Raw genomic sequence first — 16,975 nt, 5'->3', positions numbered from 1 at the left:
CTGGAAATTTTTGATAATAGTTTTGGCACTTTTTAGGAGATAAAGGTTTTTGTATTAACCACAGTGAACTAATCTCATTTGAATTACTTTGAATCCTCCAGTTGTCAAGAAGGAATTTAACACATTTAGCAAAAATAATGGAGGAAAGCTAAAGAGAAAACCAATCTTCTGCATAGACTTAAGATAAATCACCAAAAGACAATGACAATGGCTACACATTTTTTTCTGTTTGTTTATAAAGAGTAAGTGTTTTCTGTCTTAAAGCCTGACAAACAGAAATCATTAAAAGGTTAATAATGCTTTCTCCCAAACATAGGGCTAAAAACTAGAATTTTTAAGACATTTAAAAATAACATAAATAGAACACAATGCATACAAGGAAATTATGATTCCAGAGAAGATTTTTACATCAAAGTTTCTTTTACTGGAAAAGAAAATTGACAGCAAAGCTAATCTTCAGAAAGATGCTCTTTTTGTTAGGAGTCTATCAGAGAGAAGTAAAGTTGAGAGGAATGAGTAGCTTTGAATGGGACTATTCTGTGTAAACTTTAAAAATTAGTCTGGCTCAAATAGTAGCAATGTTATACCTGAAGAAGTTAGAAGACTGTGAAATCTATAATGATTTTCCTCCAGAGGCTTTCAGCCTCAACTTAAAAGAGTGCTATGCATTAGATCATTAGGGCATGGGACAGAGTAGTGAGCATAATCATATTTAGAAGACATATTTTAAGCAGATTTCAGGTTATTTGGCAAATCATTAATGAACAAAGTAGTCAGGAAAGGTAAAACTTCATAAGATTAGTTTTATCTATGGACCACATCCTCTAGGATGTATGCAGTTACAGCCTGATGCAGGCTAATAATTTTGGACATTTTCTAATAGATGATCATTAAGTATTTCCTTGACACAATTGTGTATGTGTGTATGTATGCGTCTTTTAATGTGAAGGTGAATGAAGTGAGTGGAGAAGGATATTTGGAGGTTGAACCCTTATTTAAATACTCCATGGAAAGAACAGAACAGAAAATTTGAATTAGCAGGATTACACTCTCTCTCCCCTTTATTACTGGTATTACCTGGGCCAAGAGACATACAAAAGTTATTCTCCTAACTGCATACAGTCTTATCTTAAAGAGAAACCATGGCGAATACATTTTTATTTGTCTCCTTCCATTTCCAATAAAGCAATTTTGCACACTTTACAGGTTTTCACCTTATTCTCTTGACTTCTACTTCCACCCCTTAATTCAGTCCTAATCACCGGTGACTAAGGTCTTCCTTTTTTACTCTACATCAATCCTGGGTGTTGTGTGGTTTCCAAAAGGAAATTAGGAAGTTGGAATTGGAGGCTGAGATTTGAGAGTCAAAGATGGATCATCCAAGAGGGTGTGAGCTGATGGATAAGTGGTTGATTGATTTCTGTTTTAGTCCATTGACGCTGCTATAAAAAATATAGTAGTTTATAAACAACATAAATTTATTTTTAGAATTTTGGAAGTCCAAGATCAAGATGCTGGCAGATGTGGTATCTTGGGAAGGCTCACTCTCTGCTTCCGAAATGGTGCCTTGTTTCTGCATCCTCATACTGTGTAAGGTGGAAGGGCAAAAGGAATAAATGTGTCATGAAAATGCCAGACAGTCTCTGAAGCCTATTTTACAAAAGTGTTAATCCCATTAATGAAGACAGAGCCCTAATTACTTAATAACTTCTCAAAAGGCCATACTTCTTAATACCACCCCCTTAACGTTTAGAGTCCAACATATGCATTCTGGAGGAACACATACATTCAAACCATGACACTATCTAATTGGGAGATACTGTTTGCTATATCCCTAATGGGGAGGGCATCATCCCCAAAACTTACAAAAATTTGTAACAACTTAAAGCAAGCTGTTGAAATCTGCTGCTGATAGATCCTTCTGATATTCTCTTTGATAGATTGCATACCTCAGTTACTCTTATGTATAAAATGACTATCTGTGAGTATAATACAAAGGCTTTTGGTTCAAATAAACAACAGGTACCACAAACATATGTAGTAGAAAATGTCAGAGGATCATCTCTCTCTCTTCCTCATTTTGATCACCAATTTCTCTGTCTTCTTTATTTTTGTCATTAAGAATTCCTAGAGGTTAGCCCCTTGGTCCTCTCTGTTCCTAATTCATGGACATTTTTATTCATTCCTTCAGCTTTCTATAATGTCTCTGTGGAGAGTTCCAGAACAAATGCTTTCAGTCTTCATCATTTTCATGATATTTAGTACACTTTATGCTGGGAAATTTCACATTGGATATATATGTTGCCTAAAATCCAACATGTCTAAAACTAAATGTATTATCTTTCTCCCAATCTCATCTTGATTCATGTATTTCTGTAATTAATAACTCTATCTTCCAGTTATCAACAATATATTCAAAGTTCAGAAAAGTATAAAGATGGAGGAAAAGTTATATACAATCAAACATTTTCTCCCAATGCATTATTTTTTAAAATAAAACTAAAGTAATCCTGTATACATAATTTTTATCCATCTTTAATCCTAAAATTTTCACCATGTCATTAGAAATCCTTTCTAATTAAAATTTTAAAGGCTACACAATTTTATTCTTTTTTTTCTTCTTTCTTCTGATTATATCTTTTTAGGTAACCTAATTTTGATCCATCGTCGATGCTGTCTCTTGCATTTTTTATTTAATTCATTGCATTTTCAGCTCCAAAATTTCTGTTTTTAAAAAATAATTTCAATCTGTTTGTTAAATTTCTTATTCTGCTCATTGATTGTTTTTCTCATTTTACTGAACCATTTCAGTGAAAGAAAGAAGAGGTAGGAGAAGTCAGCAGAGCCTCATGGGTAATGACAAAAGCTTTGGATTTACTCTAAGGGCATTGGGATGCTATGAAGTTTTAAAATGAAAGTGTAGCAATTTACACTTTACATTGATGTTTTGAAAAGACAATTCTTACATTGGAGCTACAGGTAGAGAGGAAGCAAGGACATAAACAGGTGATTTCTAGAATATTTCATATGAAATTAAGAAAAGTAGATTAATGCAAGGTATATTTGGAGATAGACCAACAAAATGTGGTGGCAGACTGGAGGTGGAAGGAAAGAGAAGAAATTTATGATGACTCCTGGATTTCTTGGTTTAGTAAATTGGGAGATAGTAATGTCCCATTTCTAGAGATAGGATTAATTTTATGTGGAAAACCAAGAGTTATGTTTGAGATGCTTGTGACACATCCAAATAAAAATGTCTAGTGAGAAGCTGGCTATAGAATAAGAGAGGGCAAGGCTATGAGTGTATTTTTGGGCTCATAAGCATATAAAATATCATTAAAAACCAAAAGAGGTTGGGCGTGGTGGCTCACGCCTGTAATGCCAGCACTTTGGGAGGCCAAGGCGGATGGATCATGAGGTCAGGAGTTCAAGGCCAGCCTGGCCAAGATGGTGAAGCCCTGTCTCTACTAAAAATACAAAAAAATTAGCCGGGCATGGTGGCGGGTGCCTGTAATTCCAGCTACTCAGGAGGCTGAGGCAGAGAATTGCTTGAACCCAGGAGGCGGAGGTGGCAGCGAGCCGAGATCACCCCACTGCACTCCAGCCTGGGCGACAGAGCGAGACTTTGTCTCAAAACAAACAAACAAACAAACCCCAAAAAACCAAAAGAGTAAAAGAGATCTTTGAGGCTTAGGGAAAAAATTATATTTAATTAATAATGTGTAAAGAATCGGCATGTTGTGAACTTCAAACTTATCTAGGAACATCTTATATCTATTCATATATTCATATCTTTTATTTCTATGAATAAAAATTTGTAGTGTGTCCTACGATAGGTTTGTGGATTTCTTACTGAGCTTATTCTTAGGTATTTTAACTAGGTATATTATCATTATTGAATGGAATATTTTTTCACTGTATTTTACACCTGTTATTTGTATATTACAAAGCTATAAAAGTTTTAACTTTTATTGGAAAAATTTAAAAAAATTTATAATTAAGCCTAATAGTGTTTCTTCCTACTTACTTGGAGTTTGGAGGTTGATAATCCACATCATATTTAAGTAAAAATGTTTCTCGTCCTTTCTACTAGTTATACTATTGATTTCTGTTTCTTGCTTTATTGAACTACCTTCCTCTTCTAGAAAAAGATAAAATATTAATTTAAACGCAGAATTGTTCTTCTTGTAAATGTAACTTAAATTACAACATCTTTTTCAGTATAAAGTAGAATGTTATTTTAAGATGCATATACATATATCTATGTGTGTGTATGTGTGTGAGAATGTGTGTGAATTTTTGTCATAAAGCCCCACTTTGTCATGGGGGATCCTTTATATTGTGTTGAATTGTTCTGCTAGTATTTTGCTTTATTTCTGATTTTTACACCAATATTAGTGAATTAGCTAATTTAGCTATATTTAGCTTTTGGGTGCTACTTTTTCATCAAGTTTTTATATCAGAGTCAGTAGTTCCCTAAAATGAATTGGATAGATTCAGAGATTTAGGTCTTTTTATTGCTCTAAAATGGATTACATGGCAAAGAAATGAACAATATGTAAATATTTAATGGGTATCACAAGTAAAATCTCTCAGCATGAAACTTTTGGGAGGTTCATTCAATCATTTGCAACGTTTTAATATTTTTGTGACTCTTCTAAGCAGCATATCATAGATTTTGGTAGCTTAATTGTAGTTGTTTTTTGTCTTTCAATAGAGTGATTGAACTTCCTGTCATTTAAAAAAATGACAATTTTTTAGGCATTTAAAAATTGATTTAGGCATTTAAAAAATACTTTGCCTCACATTCCATTGCCTGCCTTTCCTTCTTCCTCCTTTTCTCCTCACCCTTCCCTATTCTCTCTCTCTCCCTCCCTCCCTCCCTCTTTCCTCCCTTCCTCCCTTCTCTCCTTCCTTCCTTCCTTCCTTCCTTCCTTCCTTCCTTCCTTCCTTCCTTCCTTCCTCTTTTGGGGTACAGGCAATGTCTGGTTTAATTTTGTCATTGTTGGGTTTGTTCTATTAGTGATTACCTTTATATGAAATATACACTTGATATACTACAAGCTTCATCAGGGTGAAGGGTTTCATGTCTTTTGTTCACTGATATATTCTAAGAATCTAGAAGAGTGTCTGACACATCATAGATTATTTGTGAATGTTTGTTAAATGAATGGGCCTGTGCAGGATAAGGCATTTAACATACACTTGTTTTCTGTTGTCCTCTCCTAATCAAATTTATTAACTCAATCTGGAATTATAGAAGCAGGTTGTTATTTAGCAGCAATTATATTTACATATAGATCATGTTTTTAATAATTTTTTAAATTCTATTTTAGAAATATCTTTGTAACATTTATATGTAACTCTGTGACATATTGAATTCACTAGTCATCATTAGATATTTGTTCTATAAACATCTTTTGCATTTTTATTTTTTGATATCACATGGTACATTATCTTTAGGTTAATTGTTCCAAAATGTTTTCAGGAATTCAGCATGAATGGCATACATTCTGAGTCTACAGATGTATGAGATATTTCATACGTGTTTTCACATATTATACACGTTAATTATACACATTATACACTTTCACAAATTAAAGTATTCATGGCCCTGCTCGCTCTTATTCTGGCTTAGCACTTTTGATCATAAATATTTTTCTATCATAGATTCAGCCTTAGCTATTTTGGAGCAGCTGCTTGAGAGCCTCCTGGAATTTGTTACTTTTTTATTTTTATATTTCACTTTTCTCCCTGTAATTTTGGATTTTCTTTTAAAATAGATTTTTCCTAGAGTATGGTGCTTTTTTTGAGTTGTAGATGGTCTTTCACTCAAGTAAAACATTTTCTTCAATTATGTCTTTTACTTTTCCATTTGTTCAGTTTTCTTTCTGAATGTTGTGATTTTTATTTTTATGGTTTCTTTCTAATTTAGTCTTGAGGTATCTCTGTCCAGAGTGGCCATAGGCCAAAATAGTCACTGTCTAGGAGAGCCCTGACCAGGGGATTTGGGTGTGTGTGTCAGGCGAGACACAATGAGGAGGTGAAACCAAAATGCATGAGACAGAAGAAATTTATTACTCATAGGTCCCAGAGAGGTAAGGAGTAATAATGAAAAGCTTAGGGAAAGTCCTGACGTGACAGGAACTCAAGATGGGGGCTGGGAGGTGGAGAGAGGAGAGGATCTGTGGGACTATATGTTTATTAAGGTCCATGGCACTATTCCTTAGGCTTTCCATGGGGGTTGTGAATTGGCTAGTTTAAAAAAAAAAAAAAAAGCATGAATGAGAGGGAAGGAACTTAAATGACTGATGATGATGAATAAGTATCATTATAGCAGCAGTGGGTGTGTTGGGCTGTAGGTCAGTGGGAAGAGGAAACAAATGGGCTATATCACCAGCAACCATATAGAGAAGGGAAGTTTTTACTAGGCCAGAGGTGACAGGGTACAACTGGGTTTCAAACAACTTATGTCAGGCCTAAAAATGGATGCCCAGGCAGAAACCACATTAAACAAATTTATGGTATTGAGGATTTAAAATGCTTGTATTGAGTCTTCTTTCTCTGCCCTCAATATTTAATATCATCTTTTTTATATGTTCACTTCTTTATTTTTGCTTTATATCACATAGAAGTCTCTAAAAGTTATCTTTCACTAAATATTTGTTTTTCTAAATTATACAGTTGGCATTTGACTATTTTGTTTTCAAGTTCCTTAAGTCTATTTGTTTATTTAAAAAATGTCTGCCTTCATATCCATTGTTTTTTAATGGCTCTGTGCTCCAATTTTATTAAGGTCTTATTGTCTTTTTGTTTTAAAAAATTGTTCAATTTATTCTGGCATTTTCAAGGTCTTATTGTCTGGTACTTTTTTTTCCCCCTTAACACAGAGCAACTGTTTTCTAAAATATTATCCTGTTTTATAAAAAATAGGGATCTGATCATTCTCTTAATTTTGAGTGAAATATTTCCTCTTTTTATAACATAGTTTATTTTTGATGTGTTCCATTTTGTTTTTCTCCCCTTGCATATGCACTTATCTACCAAAGAGTTACTGCCTCTTTCTGTTTGCAAACCGAAAGGTGGTTGGAATTTCATGATTGTCTTTGATGGCTTGCATGCTGGTGGCTTCTACCTCTAAGATTCAGGCCTCCATGGCAGGTTAATTACCACAGCTTTTGGTACAATTTGAAGTATACAGAAAAAAAAAAATTCTAGTTTGAAAAAAACTAGTTTTTTTAGTTTTTTTCAAACTGGAATTTTTTTTTTTCTGTAATTAACTGAAATATTTCTCTTGCTTTAACTATTTTGTTCTCTGCCCAGAATAGAATATCTGAAAAAAAGACTGCAGTTCTTTACTGAGGTATATTAATTTGAAAAAAACTCCCCCAAACAAAACAGAACAAAACAAAACCCCCTAACTATCTTATCAAGCATGCGGTACTTCTGATTAACTTCTTTTCCCTTAGGTAACTATAAGAATTATTTAGAATTTTTTTCAGCTGCAATAACAGAAAATATGACTCCAATAGAAAAGTTATTTGAGGCCATGCGTGGTGGCTCACGCCTGTAATCCCAGCACTTTGGGATGCCAAGGTGGGCGAATCACGAGGTCAGGAGATCGAGACCATCCTGGCTAACACGGTGAAACTCCATCGCTACTAAAAATATTTTAAAAAGTTAGCCGGGCATGGTGGCAGGTGCCTGTAGTCCCAGCTACTTGGGAGGCTGAGGCAGGAGAATGGCGTGAACCCGGGAAGCGGAGCTTGCAGTGAGCCGAGATCGCGCCACTGCACTCCAACATGGGCGACAGAGCGAGACTCCGTCTCAAAAAAAAAAAAGTTTTTTGAATAATAAGCATGTTTATTAACTCATATAAGCTAGAGGTAGAGTGGCGTCAGGGCTTATTTAGTGGATGGAAGACATTATGAAGACCCAGATACTTTCATCTTTTCCCTCTGCCACCTTCAATATTCTGGCTCCTCTCCTCATCATTAGAAGACAGGTGTTGGAGCTCCAGGCCTCAAATCCTCACAACACGGCTTTTTCTACAAGCAGAAAAGAACCCAATCCTCAACCGTGTTTCCTTCACCAGTGAGAACACCTTTCTGAGGAGCTCCCAGGAAGGTAAGTCCTCATATCTTGTTGTAAAGAATTGTGTTACATACTCATTCCTCAATTAACCACTTGTAAGAGGAATGGATTTCCATAATTAGCTTAGGTCGGCGGTTCTCAACACAGTCTGCACGTAAACTACCTGGGCAACAAAACAAAACAAAACAAAACAAAAAACCCCTGTAACAACACACCAATTAAATCAGAATATCTGAAACTGGCCTATGGTTATCTGTATTTTTAAAAGTTCTTTGTGTAGCAATACACAGATGTGGAGAATCATTGGCTTAGGCTTATCTAAGTTCAAAATCCAGGCCTTAGGGTTAAGGAGGGACCCAGCCTTCTCAGACGCACCTGGCTGATACCGTTTGGCTCTGTGTCCCCACCTGAATCTCATTTCAAATTGTAATGCCCACGTGTTGGAGGAGGGGCCTGGTGGGAGATGTTTGGATCAGGGGGCGAATTTCTCCCCTCGCGGTTTTTGTGATAGTGAGTTCTCATGAGAGCTGATGGTTTTAAAGTGTGGCACTTCCTCCCTTGCTCTAGCACTCTCTCCTGCCACCATGTAAAATGTGCCTTGCTTCCCCTTTGCCTTCCTCCAGGATTCGAAGTTTCCTTAGGCCTCCCCAGCCATGCGGAACTGTGAGTCAATTAAACCCCCTTTTAAAAATAAATTAGTCAGTCGCAGGTAGTTCTTTATAGTAGTGTGAAAATGAACTAATACACTGGCCATTTGATATTTGAACAAAACCAGGATCTTATAGTTGAAGAAGGGCTGGCTGATGGGTCGTCATCTTTGTTCTGTGCAGTTGGCTACCATTTTGTGTTCTAAGAACTGAAGTATTGTCTTCGCTATCTAAAGAGAGGAGCTGATGAGCGTGCAGATGTGTGCCATCACTGTGGCTAACGTCGAAGAGCATTCCCTTGTGTTTGGGTGAATAGCTATGTTATCTTCAATGTACAGCTAGTTTGTGGAGTCTGTAAAAAGTTGTGGTAAATCTGAGCTTTTCCTGCTGTACTTTAGGGCACCTATGCTGCTCTGTTACAGTCAACTGAGCAAAGGTAATTTAAAAAATGATTATCCATTTCCATCAGAGCTGTAAGAAGCAAGACTTTGGCAGCCAGTGTTCTTTTTAACTTGTAATATCATTTTAGACGTTTTTATTCTTTCCGTCTTTATTCTGCTATTTCCCAGAATTGTTCACTAGACCAGACCAGGTACTTTGAGGAACAGAAACGTGTTTGTATTCACCACTGCATGCCCATCATTACATACACACACAGAATAGAGCTAAGGCTTAACAAATATTTGATGAGTAAAGGAACGTGCTTCTCTGCTCTGATCAGACCAGTCTAGTCACAGGCCATGCTCATGCAGTGGTTTCTCAACCTAAAAATAGGAATTTCTGGGTTCCTTCTATTTCTTTAGTCTTTTCTCAATGTAGCAGCCCACATAGTTCTTTTAACCCTTATGTGAGATCATTTCATTCTTCAGCTCAAAACCTTCCACTTTTTCCCATCCATTGCAAAATAAAAGCCAACGCACTCAGATTCATCTCTAAGGCTCTATGATCTGGAATTCTAGCTTTTCTCTGGTCTCATCTCTTACTTTTCTTTCCATCATTTTCTTCGAATCCAAACATGTTGTCATTCTTACTGTTCCTGAACACAGCAAGTATAATCCTGCTTCAGGGCATTTACTTGCTGTTCCCTCTGTTCAGGAGACTTTTCCCATAAATGGCCACATAGCTCACCCTCTCCCCTGCTTCACACCTTTGTCCAAATGCCACCTTACCAAGGAAACTTCCCTGACCAGCCTATTTGAAACACTCATTTAAAACCTCATCAGCCCATTTTCCTTCCCTGCTTTGTTTTTCCCTTTGTGTTTATCATCATTTTCATCTGCAATACTATACATATGCTTCTTTATTGGCCTGTTAACATGTCATCCCCAGAGGAGTACAGGCTTTTTAAAGTCAGGAATTTCAGTCTTCATTATTTGTAACTGGACCCCTATTGCTGGGAACAGTGCTTGGCACAGAATTGGTACTCAATAAAGAATTGATGAGTGAACACATTATCTGCTTTCTTTACCTGTAAACTGGGGGTAACAGTACCCACCATGCAATTTTCCTTTGTGCCTTAGTGATAATGCATATAAGGTAATTAGCACAGTGCTCAGCACATAGTACTTGCTGAACAAATTATGGCTTTTGTTATTTTTATAATACAGTAAAAACCTAAAACCCTGTTTCATCTAATTCCATAAACATATATGGATAAATTCTGTTATGTCCAAGGCACCATTTTTACAGAGTATAAAGACAGAAAAGGCAAAGCCCTTAGCCTTATAGGAGTAGCATATAAACATGGAAACTATTTTTTGTATTTAGGTACCCCAAATTCTTGCATGATTCATATTTAAATTTCTAGAGTTTCCAGATATCTCAAGTGCTGATAGGAAGCCTTTTCAACAATAACAAAAAAATAAATTCACATGCACATTCCTTCTCTGTAAGAATGCCTTTGAACATTAGTGCATCTCTCTTTCTCTAGGTTATATTCTTGCCTAGGAATTTGAACATCTCTAGAAAAGGTAGAACACAAAGTCACAGTCTGCTGTTTCAAATTACCACCTTTATCTATGCTTTTTATATCACCCACATCTCTGTATCATGAATATGTACATCTATATCTATGTATAGATAGATCTATGTGTAGAAACTTTTTATAGGAAAACTTTGTGTTTCTATGTATAGATCTATATATAGAAACTTATCTATGTATAGAAACTTTGAGATATAAATCACATACTTTTATTATAAGGAAGTATTTTAACCCTAAAAAGCAACATAGAGGAAATATAATGAATATCAGCGTAGTCTAAAGTTTTATCAAATCTTAACATTTTGCCATGTTTGATTCAAACATTTTTCCTAGTAAATCGATTATTACAGATGTGGTTGAATATCCCTATTTTATTTCCCAGATTCTATTTTCCTCTCTTTCTCACCAGAGATAATCCTGAATTTGTTGTTTCTAATTACAAAGAATTTATTCTTTTTAAGTCTTATAACTAGTAAATCCTGGATGTAAATTACACCAGGATTCACATTAGAATAGAGCAAAAGAAACAAAATAAAATATCTCATTTTAAACTCTGGAGGTCTACTTTCTCTGGAAAAATCAGGAAACCTGGTCAATCCAGGTCTTCATTTCTTTAGAATTTCTTCATTTCTTCAGGTGCCCAGATGAAACTGAGAGATGGTTATCTACTCATCAACAGAGTTGCATTTAAGTTCTGCTAACTTACTTCTGGGCTATTTCTTTCATTTATATTTCTTATCAGGGCTTTATAAATATTTGCATTTGTAACTTTTGTTCTCTAAACCTTTTCTAAACCTTTTTTTTTTTTTTTTTTTTTTTTTTTTTTTGAGACGGAGTCTCATTCTATCATCCAGGCTGGAGTGCAATGGCGCCATCTCGGCTCACTGCAACCTCTGCCCGTTTGGATTCAAGCCATTCTCCTGCCTCAGCCTCCTGAGTAGCTGGGATTACAGGCACGTGCTGCCACGCCTGGCTAATTTTTGTATTTTTAGTAGAGATGGGGTTTCACCATGTTGGCCAGGCTGGTCTTGAACTCCTGATCTCAAGTGACATGCCTGCCTCGGCCTCCCAAAGTGCTGGGATTACAGGCATGAGCCACTGCGCCCAGCCATTGTTCTCTAAACCTTTTTTTCTTTTGAGACAGAGTCTCGCTCTGTCCCCCAGGCTGGAGTGCAGTGGCTAGATCTCGGCTCACTGCAAGCTCCGCCTCCCGGGTTTACGCCATTCTCCTGCCTCAGCCTCCCGAGTAGCTGGGACTGCAGGTGCCTGCCACCGCGCCTGGCTAATTTTTTTTTTTTGTATTTTTAGTAGAGACGGGGTTTCACCGTGTTAGCCTGGATGGTCTCGATCTCCTGACCTCGTGATCTGCCCACCTCGGCCTCCCAAAGTGCTGGGATTGCAGGCATGAGCGACCGCACTAGGCCTGTTCTCTAAAACTTTAACCCCTTAACAATTTTAAATAAATTGTTTCTTTTTGGCTTATCTTCTGCTTCATTTTTATTTTAATTCACTCGGTTGTGCATTTCTGCTTTGATAACCATTCTTTTGTTGAAGAAGATGAAAGCAAAATTGGTACTTTCCCTTTTCACATTTCCATGAGTCACCAGTTTACCTACCTTTAAGCAATGGGCCTAATTTTTCATATTTTTTCTTGAATTTAATGTGGTGAGTAATATCCTTCTTTTTCTTTTTCCCTTAGCATTGTTTTATGAGACTGACATAATTTGGAGTTAGAAGAAGCTCACATTCACCTCCTCAGCCTTTGAAAGCTTTCTTTTAAGTTGTTAAACCAAACATTTAGGGATTACAATCCTAAATCACCTGTACTTTGATTTGGTATATATTTTATTCCATGTTTGTCATTAAAAGAAATTCTTAAGCCAGGAACTGGTAACACAGAGAAAGACCCATGGTTTTATATTTCAAGGTCTGTGTGGAGAAAACCCAGCCCAATAACAAAGAATTATTTTTATACACTTTAATTATTTAACTTATTTTGAGAATAATGTCCATTGGGGACAATATGATACTCTCAATAATTTATGATCATGCTTGATTATAAATGCCACACTGTTTATTGAATACTATGAGGACAAATGACAAATTGGGAAAAATATTCACATACATAATTTTCTAATATGCAGTGCCTGCAACACTTCCTCTCTGGAGTATCAGATTATTCCTAGCAAATTCATCTATTTGGTGAAAACCAAGAAGCCACCTTGCTGATTTTATATAGAACCATATACAGGTTATTTTCAGTTTCAGAGTCTAATCTGGCAGTCACAAATTCTCCCATGCCTATTATGGTCATCAAAAATAACAGTGCATCATGGTATGGTTTTTGCAGTCCCTTAAAAAGGAAGTACATTCTTGATCCAGATCCTAGGTTCTATGTGCAACTTTCTAAAGACCTTAAATAGGAAAATGTAGTATATGCATGTTCTTTAATATTAGAGTTGTAATTCTTTTTTTTTGTCCAGAATTTTGGTTTTTAATACCTCTTGTTGGATAAAAGGACATTGTTTTTCATTAGCTTGTCTTCAAAAGACAGAGAAATAAGATAAATTACCTTAAAGAAATTAAATAGAAAATTAAGGGAACATGTACCAAGGTGGTTTTAGACTCTCCTCAGTTTCTTTGAAAAAAGGAGGGCTTAATCTTACTAAGTGTCCTTGGTGACATTTATAGATGTTGTCTCTGTGCTCTTTAATGAGGAACTTGCAGTCATTTAGTTATAGACTTTAAGTCTGGCAGAACGTAAATACCTCCCGATGAAGTAGTTTCACCTTCAGTAGTATTCTGAAATATTTTCTTAAAATTCTGTATTTGGAGGAAAAATATACTTTCCTAAAATATAAACTGGAGTATGACTTCTGTCAAGGTTTGAAGGCCATCTGGCTTTCTTTTACATGGCAAATTATCAGTGCCAGAATACAGGTCACTCCCAAGAGAGTGTGGGCATGTAGAACCTATGATGCACGCTTTGGTAAAGATACACTACTTTCATTATGGAGCTGATTTTGTGGTAGCACAGTGACTGTAAAAGTTCAAACTGAATATTAAAACTAAATGTACCCCAAATGAAAGATACACACCAACTTTGTTTTAAAAGAAACAGTATTTATTAAGAAATTATATGTTGAATTCTCCTACGGTCTGTGAAGATGGTTTCTTCCATTTCCACAGCACAAGACAACAGCTAAGATTATCTGGAAAACACTGGCAATGCTTGGGAATGGAGAGTTCCTAGGAACAGGAGGTGAAATGACATGATGTATGCACTAATTTAAACTTTTGGATCCAAGGGCAAGACAGTCTTTTCCTTGGCAATCTAGTCCTTACTTGTCCATGGAATCTCATACCCAGACTGAAGTAATAATTGGATCATTTAGTTCAGTAGAGCGGAGCATGCTCAACTTAATCACAGATCAAACCAACAGTTCTTTAACTATTATATCACATCTGAAATATCTGCATTCTTTATTAATAAAAAGGGTGCTTATACAGGGCAGAAATATAACTTTTTCAAGTATTTTATCATTATGATCTGAAGTACTTTAAACTATAAATTATAAATAAATTATAAAAACTAGCATAAGATGCATCTTTTCTTACATGACATTGTTGGAAATAAGCTTTAAATACAGAATTGCAATATCACCTGACTTTATATATGATCAACAGTGAAACATGCTAATCATAAAAATAGCTTTTACAAATATACATTTGTATATAGTGTTTCCCTTACCATTCATAAATGCCTTTCACATTTTAAGACTGAAAAAAAAAACATAATTAGCAAAGGGGAAAACACATTTACAATTTAAACCATAAAAACCTGACAATTGTACAGCTTAAAACATAGAAGAAATGGAATTTCTAAAACTGAGCAATACTGTCCATTTTATTTATTTGGGTTTTTATATAAATTGAACCAAAGATGCTGCTGTCCAGTAAGAAACCTCCTTTCACATTTCTGGGGGTTGTCACAGTTTCTCTTTTCTGCTTTGTGGCATCATGCGTTATTTCAGATCACTTTATCTGTAGAAACTGAGAAAATAAAAAAAAATTTTAAAATACAGAGATTTGTGTTTTATTGTTGATAGCATGCGTATACTGATATGTAAGTTAGATTTTAAGGTTAGATCAGGGGAAGAATAAAGGAAGAATTAGATATTTAGGACAAATAATTTTGATGGTAGGTTCTTAGGTCCTTTGTTGTAGGCAAATCTATAATTATTTTCATTTATGGAATGTTACGATTTTTTTTAATCCAGCTAATTTATTGCCTGAGGTCAGCAATTACTTTTCAACCTGAGCTCTTGTCCAAGTCAAAGGAGGAACCACTTAAAGTTCTAGACTAGGGAAAGAGATTTCAATTACTCGTGAATCTTTGTTGTGCCCCTAACAAGAATGACCATAGGATACCCCTACTACGAGGCTTTGAACAGTGCTGTCCTAAGCCTTATGCATCTGGGATAGGAGAAAAAGCCAATACAGGTCTTTGATCTGCATTTCACAATCTTGGTTGCAAAAGAAGAAAATCAGAAACATTGAAAGACTTCATGGTGCAACCATGAGTCTGAAGCATTATGTAAGAGCCCAAATTCAATTGGTTGAACAACTGATTGAAATTGAATATGAAGACAAAATAATGCAAGACTCAATCAGTGGGGAAAATTATGTATTTATCTTAGAATCCTATCAAGTTCCAGGTCTTTATATTTAGATAAAAAATATTAGACCTACTGTTATCCCATCAACTTCAAAGGTCTTAGGGGTTAGATAGAAAATCTGTGTATGTCTTAAGAGTCAAAGACATGCAAATCAAGGTATCAGATGGGATGGGACATGTTGACCTTTTATAAGTAGCCAGAGAATTAGGTAACTTGACTTTATTTATTAAAGCTTTGAAGTCCATGATACAAAGATTATGAAAAAGACTGAGTGTGGCAAATGGGTGGTGAGAATTTCTTTGGAGGTTTGCAGCCCCCCAGATTTCATGCCTGGCTAAGACTACTGGTTGAAAGAGACTCAGTGAATGTGATGATTGAATTTTCACACTCATGTGTGAGATGTGCCTCCCTCAAATCTTGTTATGATATTGGCACATTACCTGTCTAACATGAAAAAAAATTTAATAAACTGATCTAAAACAAAACATACCCACTTAATAGTCTTTTCTATAGTCAGACACATTTAAAAACTTATATCCCTAGGAAAGAAGCTTTCATGAATAAGACATTTTGACACTGTATTTTGATATATTCTCTTTCTCTCTATTTCTCTCCTTCACTGCCTTTTTCCTTTTCTCTTCCCTCTCTTTCTCCTTACCCAATTCATACTGTACACTGATCACATATATATGAATTTTGAAAAATGAAAGCTTTATTCAAATGTGTTTGTCATGCAGTTCCAGGTTGTGTTTATGTGCATGAGAAGAGTCAGTTTTGTACTTAAGGCACAAAGGTTCGAACTTATTATACAACATAAGTAGACTACTTTTTGTGTGGTGTAAAGGAAGTTTTGTATATGACCTGCATGCACATATCAACAATGATCAATTATCATTATGAGAATGAATAACTTAAAAAATAAAATAAAAGTAACCCATAGATGAACACTGATATATGAAAATAGGTATTACAATGTTTGAATTTTGATAGATACCACTTGTGTGCAAAAAAGGAAATAAGGCTATTTATATGATTGCAATTGCACTCTTTCCTCTAAGGCCTCCATTGATCACTTTCTTATTATAAATGGAAAATGCTAAAAATACTGTAGCAGCTGTGTATGTAAAGCTTACTAGTCATGGTGTTTCTCCAGGTTAAGTCATGGCAGTTGACATGAATTTAGTACATTCTTACACCATCCTGCATGTGTCAAAAGAGGTAATGACTGTTTAGCAACTATGTATTTTGTTAAGATGAAAAAAACAACCTGTAGATTTTTTGTGCATAATTCATTACCCCCAGTATAATTTTTTCTTACACCTTCCTTTGCTTCTTAGTTGTAAATAATTACATAAAAATAATTATTGGGGAAAGAAAGGTAGATTTGAAAATAATTTATTGAAGTCTTCCTTCTTACCATAAAGCTTCAAAGCATTTGAATAAAACAAAAGACTCATTAACTTTGCATTGTGAAGTAGGTATTATTAACCACATGGTTACAAGTCATGAATATATTTCTCCTTATCTAAAAACAATGTCAAAACATATTCACAAAGCTTTCCATAAAACTTCTA

General features: G+C 35.4%; 1 protein-coding gene and 1 pseudogene across 56 annotated transcripts in view; one reads left to right on the top strand and one right to left on the bottom strand.

Moving 5' to 3' along the window:
- Nucleotides 1-13,824: 13,824 nt before the first annotated feature.
- The window catches only part of RALYL (RALY RNA binding protein like), a 739,058-nt gene continuing 735,907 nt past the window's right edge, over nt 13,825-16,975 (bottom strand). For all 56 annotated transcript variants that reach the window (NM_001413301.1, NM_001413300.1, NM_001354325.2 and 53 more), the window contains one exon: nt 13,825-14,775. In NM_001413301.1, coding sequence (NP_001400230.1) covers nt 14,758-14,775 — 18 coding nt within the window. In that variant the 3' untranslated portion in view covers nt 13,825-14,757. The remainder of the gene's footprint in view (nt 14,776-16,975) is intronic.
- LOC124902092 (uncharacterized) lies at nt 15,756-15,851 on the top strand (annotated as a pseudogene).

Source organism: Homo sapiens, chromosome 8 (genome assembly GCF_000001405.40).
Source record: "Homo sapiens chromosome 8, GRCh38.p14 Primary Assembly".
Lineage (NCBI taxonomy): Eukaryota > Metazoa > Chordata > Mammalia > Primates > Hominidae > Homo > Homo sapiens.
Note: the sequence above shows the minus strand (reverse complement) of the source record. Positions and strands in the feature narration are given on the sequence as shown.